Source organism: Homo sapiens, chromosome 15 (assembly GCF_000001405.40).
Source record: "Homo sapiens chromosome 15, GRCh38.p14 Primary Assembly".
NCBI lineage: Eukaryota > Metazoa > Chordata > Mammalia > Primates > Hominidae > Homo > Homo sapiens.
In genome coordinates, this window is record NC_000015.10 from 84,893,791 (window position 1) to 84,906,097 (window position 12,307).

At 46.8% G+C, this 12,307-nt stretch overlaps 1 protein-coding gene across 23 annotated transcripts in view; it reads left to right on the forward strand.

The window, feature by feature from the left end:
- SLC28A1 (solute carrier family 28 member 1) overlaps window positions 1-12,307 on the forward strand; it is a 90,988-nt gene that overhangs the window by 9,129 nt on the left and 69,552 nt on the right. For 22 of the 23 annotated variants that reach the window (XR_931945.3, NM_001321722.2, NM_001321721.2 and 19 more), the window contains 3 exons: window positions 1,150-1,333; window positions 10,307-10,448; window positions 11,749-11,862. Coding sequence is in view for 22 of the 23 variants with exons in the window: in NM_001321722.2 (NP_001308651.1) it covers window positions 1,150-1,333; window positions 10,307-10,448; window positions 11,749-11,862 (440 nt within the window). In the remaining variant the exon portion in view is untranslated. Of the gene's footprint in view, window positions 1-1,149; window positions 1,334-1,587; window positions 2,257-10,306; window positions 10,449-11,748; window positions 11,863-12,307 lie in introns of those variants that run through there. The other variant, NM_201651.3, reaches the window with a different exon arrangement.

Sequence of the window (12,307 nt, forward strand, 5' to 3'; positions counted from 1 at the left end):
TGCCACGCACCACACGGGCATTCCTCTCTCTGCAGTCCTGGGACCTCCCTGGGACTCGACCAGGAAGCCAGTCACAGGGCTTCACTGCTTGCAATGCTGCAAACACACCTGGCTTGGCGGCCTTGCCAGGCTCAGGCGCTTTCTCTGTGATACCAGTGTCCTTGTTATTGCCTGTACCAGAGGGGTTGGGTAGAACTTACCTTTATTCGTGATGTTTCAGATCACATTTTTTATCCATGGCTATGAGTCCTTTCCATTCTTCGAAGATCCTGGATTCTGAAATTCAAAAGCCAGGGAGAGGCCGGGCGCGGTGGCTTACGCTTGTAATCGCAGCACTTTGGGAGGCTGAGGTGGGCGGATCACTTGAGCCCAGGAGTTCAACACCAGCCTGAGCAATATGGCGAAACCCTGTCTCTACCAAAAATACAAAAATTAGCCAGCCATGGCGGTGGGCAACTGTAATCCCAGCTACTCGGGAGGCTGAGGCAGAAGGGTTGCTTGGACCCAGGAGGCAGAGTTTGCAGTCAGCCGAGATCATGCCACTGTACTCCAGCCTGGGCAACAAAGTGAGACCCTATCTCCAAAAAAAAAAAAAAAAATCTAGGGAGAGACATCTCCCCCTCTGCTATCCATTCTTATGTGTCTTTCCTGATGGACTGGCTGAGTGGCTCAAAGAAGAGAAGGGCAAAAGGGGAAAGGAAACTCCAGGAAGCATGCTCATTGATGAACATTTCAGAACGCAGTCCGAGCACACATGTGTAAACTCCTTCACGGAGTAGCTGATGGGCTCGTCTCCTTCCTCCGTGGGGCCTAGCATGGCGCTGGACCACAGCAGATGCTCCACTGATGCCCAGCGCCTCTTGCTGTTTGGCTTCACGGCCTCCTTACACATCTCCCTCACATTTGGTAAGCACTTTACAGTTTGCAAGGCCCTTTCACAACACTTTCTGCCAGTACCTCCTAACTACTTTTTGGCACAGTAGCGGTGGTTGTTTTCATTTCCAGATGAGGAAACAGGCTCAGTGAGGTTGGGTGACTTTCCTGCCCTCCACGCTCTGGGTGGAGTAAGGTGGAGTCCGCGGGCGGGGCTGCAGGGTTCTGAAGAGGTGGTGTCCTGGCTGTTGACCCCTCCTCTGTCTCATCCCCCAGGGCTCTCTGCCTTCCTGCTGGTGGCCTGCCTCCTGGATTTCCAGAGGGCCCTGGCTCTGTTTGTCCTCACCTGTGTGGTCCTCACCTTCCTGGGCCACCGCCTGCTGAAACGGCTTCTGGGGCCAAAGCTGAGGAGGTTTCTCAAGCCTCAGGGCCATCCCCGCCTGCTGCTCTGGTTTAAGAGGTGAGTGAGCTCACAGCCCCGAGGCAGGGCAGGGGAGGGCCCATGAGCTGAGGGGTTGGCTCCAGGGTTATGGCCAGGGCTGGAGGAGGAGGAAGGCTCTGTGTCATGGAGAACTCTCTGGCGCCCCAGGGCAGGAGCCAGTGGGTGGCTTCAAACAAAGCAGCATCTTTGTGGTGTTTCACCAGTTCTTAGTCCCAGTTACAGCAGGTGACTGTGGTGGACGAAAACTGGACTCAACAGTTTCCTCCATTCAGGGATCCCAGGCCATGGAGCAAGGAGGGCCCGAATCAGTACCTCCCTCAGATCACCTGGACAGTGTGAGACAAAAAGCCGCAGGGACCATCCCTGGAGGGGGATTCAGCAGGCTCGATCGGGGTCCAGGTGCTGGTATTTTTCATTAGCCTCCAGGGGATTCTGATGTAGCCAGCAGCGTCCTTGGACAACAGTTTGAGATCTGCTGCTTTTCAAACTGGATTCCTTGGAGCGCTGGAAATCTCAGCGATGTCACAGGGCAGGAGAGGGAGGTTGTGGAGGGAAAATTCAGACTTCCCGCCCAGCCCACCATTTCACCAGGCAGCTCTAAATTTATGTGTTTTATAAGCCAAGGTTCACACAAAAAAGAAAATTCGCTGGGGGAAAAAAACAGTTTCTATGGCTTAAAAAAAAGTCTGAAGACCACCAGTCTATTTCAATACTCTATTTTGTTGATGAAGAAGCTGGTGACCAAAGATACCCAAAGACTAAGTCAGGGGGATGCAGGGGTACAGGGGTGCCTCTCACTTTCCCAAAGTGAGATCCACATACCACAGCAAAATGATTTGAGCCAGCCTGTGGATGAACACATTTAAAATTTTATTTATAAATACATTTACTGTTACATTTGACTTCTCTTTATTAAATACATTTGTGATTTATTTTTGCAATGGTCTTCTGTGACAAGTCATTGATAATGGTTTTCCGCTTGAGGGACTGATAGGAAGTTTCCTTTAAAAAATGCATGCAGATAAACTGGACTTCATAAAAGCTAAAAACTTTCTGATGCAACACACACTATCAAAAAAGTGAAAAGACAACTCACGGAATGAGAGAAAAGATGTACAAATCATATGTCTGCATAAAGAAACTGTATGCAGAATTACAACTCAACCATAAAAAGACAACCCATTTGATGAATGATAAAAGGTTTTGCTTTAGCCAAAAAGCTCATGCAAATGTGCTCAACATCAGTAGCCATCATGGAAATGCAAAGCAAAGCCACAATAAGATACCACTTCATATTCAGTCAGATGGCCATAATCAATAAGACAGATGATAACAAGTGATGGCAAAGATATGGAGAAATTGAAACCCTTAGACACTGCTGGTGGAAATGCGAAACAGTGCAGTTGCTTTAGAAAATGGTTAGGCTGGCCGGGCACGGTGGCTCATGCCCGTAATCCCAGCACTTTGGGAGGCCGAGGTGGGTGGATCATGAGGTCAGGAGTTTGAGACCAGCCTGGCCAACATGGCGAAACCCTGTCTCTACTAAAAATACAAAAATTAGCCAGGCATGGTGTTGGGCGCCTGTAATCCCAGCTACTCTGTAGTGAAAACTACCCATATGTCTATAAACTGAAAAATGGATAAAGAAAATCTATATATCCATACAATAGAATATTATTCAGTCATGAAAAGGAATGTAGTATTGATAAATACTGCAATAATGATAAACCTTGGGAACATCATGCTCAGTGAAAGAAACCAGTCTTAAAGAACCATATACGGCATGATTCCATTTATATGAAATGTCCAGAATGGGCAAATCTGTGGAGACAGAGAGTTGATTAGTGACTGCTAGGGCGGATGGGAAGAGGAGGTGGTGACCACCAGTGGTTTGGGGTTTCTCTTTGGGCTGATGAAAATATCCTAGGATTATGGTAATGGTTGCACAAATCTGTAACTATACTAAAAACCATTAAACCATACACTTTTGGCCAGGCACGGTGGCTCACGCCTGTAATCCCAGCACTTTGGGAGGCTGAGGTGGGTGGATCATGAGGTCAGGAGATGGAGACCATCCTGGCTAACACGGTGAAACCCTGTCTCTACTAAAAATAGCAAAAAAAAAAAAAAAATGGCTGAGTGTGGTGGTACGCGCCTGTAATTGCAGCTACTCAGGAGGCAGAGGCAAGAGAATCACTTGAACCCGGGAGGCAGAGGTTGCAGTGAGCCAACATTGCACCACTGCACTCCAGCCTGGGTGACAGAGCGAGACTCCGTCTCAGAAAAAAAAAATCCAAACCAAACAAACAAACAAACAAAAATACACTTTTAAAAATTGCTGCATAGTATTATTAGATTGGTGCAGAAGTAATTGTGGTTTTGCCATTATGCAAAAAATTTTGCACCAGCCTAATAAATGTGCATAGTTTCAGGGTATATGTGATAATTTAATACATTCATATAATTTGTAAAGATCAAATCAGTGTACTTGGGATATCCATCAACTTAAATATTTGTCTTTCTTTATGTTAGAACTATTCAAATTCTCCTAGCTATTTTGAAATATGCAATACATTATTGTACACTGTAGCCACCTTACTGATCTATCTGTCACTAGGTCTTATTTCTTCTCTCAAACTGTATATTTGTACCCATTAATCAACTACTCGTCATCCCGCCTCCCTCCTCCCCTTCAGAGTCTCTGGTAACCACCAAACTACTGTCTATCTTCATAAGATGTACTTTTTAAGCTCCCACACATGAGTGGGAACACACAGTATTTGTCTTTCTGTGCTTGGCTTATTTCACTTAACATAATGACCTCCAATTCCATCCATGTTGCTGCAAATAACAGGATTTCATTGTTTTTTTATGGCTGAATAATATTCCATTGTGTATATACACCACATTTTCTTTATCCATTCATCTGTTGATGAGCACCTAGGTTGATTCCATAGTTTGGCTATTGGGAATCATGCTGCAATAAACATGGAGTGCAGGTGTCTTTTCAATATATTGATTTCCTTTTTTTTTTTTTCATATATACCCAGTAGTGGAATTACCGAATCATATGGTAGTCCTATTTTTAGTTTTGTGAGGAACTTCTATCCTTGAACCATGCACTGTAAATGGGCAAATTGTATGACATGTAAATTTTGTCTCAATAAAGCTGTTAGAAGATGCATGCATTTGGTCGGGTGCGGTGGCTCACGCCTGTAATCCCAACACTTTGGGAGGGCGAGGTGGGTAGATCACGAGGTCAGGAGATCCTGACCATCCTGGCTAACATGGTGAAACCACATCTCTACTAAAAATACAAAAAAATTAGCCAGGCGTGGTGGCGGGCGCCTGTAGTCCCAGCTACTCAGGAAGCTGAGGCAGGAGAATGGTGTGAACCCAGGAGGCAGAGCTTGCAGTGAGCTGAGATCTCGCCACTGCACTCCAGCCTGGGCGACAGAGCAAGACTCCATCACCAAAAAAAAAAAAAAAATACATGCATTTGATTTTGGCTCCCAGTTAAGATGTGGTAACAGAGACCAGGTTTATCCTCCCAGTTGAAACAGCTAAAAAACTGGAATGAATACATGAGACAAGAGCTCTTAGATGTTGGACATCAGGCAATAAAGGACACTGATCCTTGAGGATTAGGAAACAAATGAGTTTAGCCCTACGGTCTCCCCAGCTGACTGCCTGGAGAGCGTTTCCAGACCACAGCACAGGGAAGGAAAACTGAGGTGGGACCAGGAGATTCCCTAAGTTGAAGAGACAGAGCTGGAAATCCAGGGAAGCCATGGCAGGCAGGGTTCACGTTGCAGAGCACAGAGACACAGTTGAGAGATCACAGAGCAAAGCCCAGAGGTATGCAGAGAATCCTTGAACATGCAGTTGAGTTCTGCTCAGAGAATACAGACAAGGAAACTACCCTAGGGCTAGGAAAGAACCACCCAAAAGGAGAAGAGGGAATCATACCTGGAATCACACAGGGCCAGGAATAGTGTCTATTCCTGACAGGTGAATAAACCTCAGAATTCACAGGGCATTGTTTAGCGTACTAAGAAGGTTTTGGCTCAGTAGCAGAGAAAAAAAAAATCAACTCTAGAATAAATGCTTCTCAGGCCCTGCCTAACACATCTTAAAGACAAAACCTGAAAAAATTCAAACAGAGCATCAGTTAACCACGGCACAACTTCAGTGGCAAATATACACAATTGAAGTCTCCAGAGGAGAAGGAGGGCAGAAAAAAAATATTTGACGAAATTATGTCCAAAAAAAAAATCCAAATAGGATGACAATTGGACACCCAAAGATTAAAGAAATTTCATGAACCCCCAGCACAAGAAACATGAAGACTATACCAAGGCAATAATCAAATTACTTAAAATCAGTGATAAAACCTTAACAGCAACTAGAGAAAAAAGACGTGCAGAGGAGCAGAAATGGATTACTAGCAGATTTCTTGTCAAAAATGAGTGAGAAAATAATGGAACAGTAAACAATAGCAAATACCCAAAAGGCTGTCAACCTAGAATTCTTTACCAGTGAAATGTATTTCAAAAAAGAAGAGGAAATAAGAACTCTTTCAGTCATACAAAAGCTGAAATAATTTTTCAGACATAAAAAGCAGATTTACGCTACAAGAAATGCTAAAGGAGTGGCTCACACCTGTAGTCCCAGCTGCTTGGGAAGCTGAGAAAGGAGGATCGCTTCAGCTTGGGAGACATAGGCTGCAGTGAGCCATGATCGCGCCACTGACTGCTGCCTGGGCGATAGAGGGAGATACTAAGGCAGAAAGAAAGAAAGAAAGAGAAAGAGGGAAAGAGGGAAAGAAAGAAAGAAAGGAAGGAAGGAAGGAAGGAAGGAAAGAAGGAAGGAAGGAAGGAAGGAAAAGAAAAAGGCAGGCAGGCAGGCAGGCAGGCAAGCAAGCCTGCCGGCCAGGTGTGGTAGCTCGTGTCTATAATCCCAGCAATTTGGGAGGCCGAGTTGGACAGATCACTTAAGCCCAGGAGTTCAAGACCAGCCTGAGCAATATGGTGAAACCCTGTCTCTAATAAAAATATATATATAAAAAAATTAGCCAGGCATGGTGGCATGCGCCTGTAGTATCAGCTATTACACTTGGGTGGCTGAGGGACAAGAATTGCTTGAACCTGGGAGGTGGAGGTTGCAGTGAGCCGAGATCACGCCACTGCACTCCAGCCTGGGAGACAGAGTGAGACACTGTCTCAAAAAAAAGGAAAAAAGGAAGAAAGAAATGCCACTGCACTTCAGCCTGGGAGACAGAGTGAGACACTGTCTCAAAAAAAAAAAAAAAAAAAAAAAGAAGAAGAAGAAAGAAAGAAATGTTAAAGGAAATTCTTCGAAGAGAAGGAAAATGCTACTAGACAGAAACCTGGTTCTACAAAAAGAAATGGGGTCAGGCGCAGTGGCTAATCCCTGTAATTTCAGCACTTTGTGAGGCTGAGCTAGGAGGACTGCTTAAGCCCAGGAGTTTGAGACCAGCCCGAGTAACATCATAAGACCCCATCTCTACAAAAAAATAGATAAATAAATTAGCCAGGTATGGTGGTGTGCACCTGTGATCCCAGTTACTTGAGAGGCTAAGGTAGGAGGATCACCTGAGCACAGAAGGTCGAGACTGCAGTGAGCTATGCACAATATGCCTATATGTCACTGCACTCCAGCCTGGGCAACAAAGCAGACCCTGCCTCAAAAAAGACAGACAGAAAGGGAAGGGGAAGGGGAAAGGGAAGGGGAAGGGTGAAAGGCAAGGAAGGAAGGAAGGAAGGAAGGAAGGAAGGAAGGAAGGAAGTTAGTTGATTAAAATTTAATTAACTTAGGCCAGGTGTGGTGGCTCACGCCTGTAATCCCAGCACTTTGGGAGGCTGAGGCAGGCAGATCACGAGGTCAAGAGATTGGGACCAGCCTGACCAACAGAGTGAAACCCTGTCTCTACTAAAAATACAAAAATTAGCTGGGCGTAGTGGCGCACACCTGTAGTCCCAGCTACTCAGGAGGCTGAGGCAGAAGAATCGCTTGAACGTGGGAGGCAGAGCCACGGTGCCTGGCCTTGTCATAAATCTTTAATAAGAAAAATAACCTAATTTTAAAATGAGCTCAAGGCCAAGAGCAGTGGCTCACGCCTATAACCCCAGCACTTTGGGAGGCCAAGGGTGGGTGGATCCCCTGAGGTCAGGAGTTCAAAACCAGCCTGGCCAATATGGTGAAACCCCATCTCTACTAAAAATACAAAAATTAGCCAGATATGGTGACGGGCACCTGTAGTCCCAGCCACTTGGGAGACTGAGGCAGGAGAATTGCTCGAACCCAGGAGGTGGAAGTTGTAGTGAGCCAGGATCTTGTGCCTCTGCACTCCAGCCTGTGTGACAGAGCGATACTCCATCTCAAAAAAACAAAAAACAAACAAACAAACAAAAAACAAAAAAAGGCTCAAGATATGAACAGACATTTAAAGAAGATGCCTAAGTGGCAAATAAGTACATGGTAAGATGCTCAACATCATTTATCAGTAGAGAAATGCAAGTTAAAAGCAGAAAGAGATATTACCATATGCTGATTAGAATGGGTAGAATTCAGAAGACTAACCATATCAAGTGTTGGCAAGGATATAGAGGAACTGAAATTTTTATATACTGCTGGTGGGAATATAAAATTGCACAATTGCTGTAGAAAACAGATTGGCACTTTCCAGGCCTATCATGTAATCTACCTATTTCACTTATAGGCATTTACCCAAGAGAAATAAAAGCATATATCCACACAAAGACTTGCACATGAAGTTTTGAATGTTCATAGCGGCTTTATCTGCAATAGCCGAAAACTGGAAATCACCAAAATGTCCATCAATAGGTGAACTGATAAGCAAAGTGTGGTATATCCATATAATGGAATACTACTCAGCAATAAGATGAAACAGACTAGTGAATCATGCAGAAACCTAGATAAATCTCAAAATAATTACACTAAGTGAAAGAAGTCAAACAAAAAAGGACACGTACTGTATGGTTCTATTTATATAAACTTCTTTCTTTTCTTTTTTAAAAATTTATATAAAATTCTTAAAAATGCAAAGTAGGCAGGGTGCGGTGGCTCACACCTATAATCCCAGCACTTTGGGAGGCTGAGGCGGGCAGATCACTTGAGGTCAGAAATTCAAGACCAGCCTGGCCAACATGGTGAAATCCCATCTCTTCTAAAAATACAAAAATTAGCTGGGCATGGGGGTGCATCCCTGTAGTCCCAGCTACTTGGGAAGCTGAGGCAGGAAAAGCGCTTAAACCCCGGAGGTGGAGGTTGCAGTGAGCCGAGATCGTGCCACTGCACTGCAGCTTGAGCAATGGAATGAGACTTTGTCTCAAAAAAAAAAAAATGCAGACTAATCTAGTGGCAGAAAACATATCAACTGTTACCTGGGAACGGGGAGGGAGGCAAGGATTACTAAAGGTGTGATGGATACGTTCACTCTCTTGATTGCGGTGATGGTTTCAAGGAGTATACGTATGCCAAAACGTATCAAATTGAACACCTCCAATATGTGCAATTGATTATATATCAACCATACCTCTAATAAAGCTGTTAAAAATAAAAAATCTGAGACAAGCATTTAAGTTTTTTTTTTTTTTTTGAGATGGCGTCTTGCTCTGTCACCCAGGCTGGAGTGCCGTAGTGCGATCTTGGCTCACTGCAACCTCTGCCTCCCAGATTCAAGTGATTCTCCTGCCTCAGCCTCCCAAGTAGCTGGGACTACAGGCACCCACTGCCACGCTCGGCTAATTTTTGAATTTTTAGTAGAGATGGGGTTTCACCATGGTGGCCAGGCTGGTCTCGAATGCCTGACCTCAGGTGATCCACCCACCTTGGCCTCCTAAAGTACTGGGATTACAGGCATGAGCCACTGCGCCCAGCCACATTTGAGTTCTTATAAAGTCAGTTAACCTCAAGAGAAATAGTAAGTAAAGAGAGGTACAGTTGGCACAAAAACAAGGCAAAGATTGTGCATGTTGAACTGGAATGAGAAGAGTTTAAAAATATGAGCAGAAAGAAAAGCAGTAGGCTCTGGAATTAGCCTGCTTGAGTTCAGCTCTTCGATCTCCTGCTTATCAGCTAGGACCGGCCTGGATAAAACTGTAGTTAAGTGAATAGACCTTGCTTCCAGAGTGCCTGGGTTGAAATCTCAGCTCTGCCACTTTCTAGATGAGTGGCCTTGGGCCAGTTATTTAACCTCTCTGTGCCTCAGTTTCCTCATCTCTATCAAAAGAACATGTCTCTCGCATCGGTATAGTACCTGGCATATAATAGGTGCTCAATGAACGTTAACTGTCATTAGTAGTACCCAGTGAATTGATGACCGGATTGGGGTGAGATCTTGAGTACCTGATGCCAAAACCTGAATTCTCCCACCCTTCAGGGTGCATCCTGGACAAACAAATCCCAGCCCCAGGGAGGGAAGTGTTGCTGTTAAGGTAGGATCCGTTCCTTGGTCTCAGGTGCTCAGCTTGGAGGTCCAAACTCACATCACATGCTTCTAGGCATTTTGCAGTCATGGCTGGTAGTGTTGAGTCCTGGGTGGCACAGGTCCTTTCTCCCCCAAGGTCAGAGGCTGAGCTGAGCATCACTGCAGCGGTGAGATTCCTGTAGCTGGATGGAGCCAGGTGCTTGTCACTATGCTCAGCTTGGTACATATATCCCCTTATATAATCCTCTCAACAACCTTGAGAAATGAGGGGTCTCTGGCTTCATTTGACCCATGAGGAAACTAGACTCAGAGAGGCAAGGTGATCTGCCTGAGGTCACACAGCGAGGTCAGCCCTTCCCAGCATGTGGTTCCAGAGCTGGTGCTCTTTCCACTCTGCTGTGCTGTTTCTCCTCCTCCCAGCCCTGAGCACCCTTTCTCTGGGTCCCCGGGTGCTATTGTGTGTGGGTGGGGTGGGGGTGCAATGCTGAGGGTAATGGCTTTCTGTCTCTTGCCTGCAGGGGTCTAGCTCTTGCTGCTTTCCTGGGCCTGGTCCTGTGGCTGTCTCTGGACACCTCCCAGCGGCCTGAGCAACTGGTGTCCTTCGCAGGAATCTGCGTGTTCGTCGCTCTCCTCTTTGCCTGCTCAAAGCATCATTGCGCAGTGAGTGCTAGTTGTGGGGCCCAGGGCTGGAAGTGTTTGCCTCTCTCTTCTGCCCCTAGGCTGGATCTGGGAGCTGGGGTATAGGCAGATGTTCCTGTTGGGAGAGCCCTGGAGGCTCAGGGCCTGGAGAAGGCCTGTGTGTATCAGGATAGGCTTCCTGTGAAGAAGAAGTCTTCAAAATCCCCAGCAGGGATGTCTTTCCAGACTCAGAGGCCACCAGGACATTTGTTTCCTTGGTGACATGTCCTCTGGTCAGTCTAATCCTGGTCTTCAGGTCTGTAGGCTCAGGAACCACCTCCACCCCCAACCACAGAAAACACAGGCCAGAACTCCAGCCTGTCTGCAGAGCCAAGGGTTTCCTGGAATCATTAGCTTAAAATAGTGCTTCTCAAAGTCTGCTCCCCAGTCCAGCAACAGCGGCGCCTCCATGGAACTTGCCAGAAATGTAACTTCTTAGGCCCCACCCTAGGCCCACTGCATTAGAAACTCAGGGGCAAGGGCAGCAATCATCCTGTCAGCAAGCACAATTCTGATGTGTACTAAATTCTGATGTGTACTAAATTCTGATGTGTACTAAATTCTGATGTACACTCAGGCAGCCACGCACCCATTTGGGAGGGCCCTGCCATAGGCAGATGGAATCTTCTCTCTCTCTGCCTCCATAGCATAAGATCCCTCCCTGTTTCACAGTGTGGCTACCACCTTCCCCAGGCTACAGCCAAGCCTCCCAGGAGCTTATGATACACACCTGAGCTTGGACTCACTGCTAAGGAATTATTAAATGCTCATCAAGGAACAGCAACCTGAGGAGCCCAGCTCTTGTCTGCTAGGAGGGGCGTGGGGTGTGGGCATGGAGAGAGTCGGGGTCGAGGCGGCTGGGAGTCCAGCCTATTGGAGGAGAGATTGGAGACGGTCAGGCAGACAGGGTTCACACGAGCTGGGAGGAGCTGGGCCCAGAGTAGTCTGGTGCTGATCCTGAGGCCAGACCCCCAGGCCACATCTCTGGCAGTGATGACCAGGAGACGAAGTGCCATGGCATGCCCAAGGCTGGTCCGGTTTCACCTGAGTTCTTGGTTAGAATCTTGGCCCACCCCTCCTCACTGCCCAGGCCCATTCCTACCAAGCACATGGCCTGTTCTGAATCCCAGGGAGGGTGTGACCACTGGCAACAGGCCTAGTACTCTGCCTGGCTCCAGCCCCATCCTCTGGGCAGGGCAATGCCCCCTGCTCTCACCCCCACCCGGCTCCCTGCCCATCCCTCAAGGAACTGAACTCAGCTTTCTGTTGGGTGGGGTGGTAGGTGTCCTGGAGGGCCGTGTCTTGGGGACTTGGACTGCAGTTTGTACTTGGACTCCTCGTCATCAGAACAGAACCAGGATTCATTGCGTTCGAGTGGCTGGGCGAGCAGATCCGGGTAGGTATGTGGGGTCTGGCTGCCCAGAGCATCTTAGATTACTGGGAGTAGGGGAGAAGCCACTTGGCAGGGGGAAAAGTGGGTGGTGAGGCCATAGAGAAGGCTTGGGACCTGGAGGGTGGGGTGGACTGGGGCCCCAGACCAGGTGGGCAGCTGGGGACCAGGCAGTGCAGCTGCCACTTCCCTCATGCCTGGTACTGAGGTCCCAATAGAGTAGTCTTTCCAGAGGCTGGGTCTGCAATCAGCAGTAACTTGGAAATTGTAATAGTTAAAAGTGCTAAAAAAAAAAACCCAAATCTGCAAATGATTTACTTCTGTGTGTGTGTGTTTAAAAATAACGTTTATTGAAGTTATACATTTTTGTTCTTTTTTTTTTTTTTCTTTCAAGAAGGAGTCTCGCTTTGTCACCCAGGCTGGAGTGCAGTGGTGCAATCTTGGCTTGCTG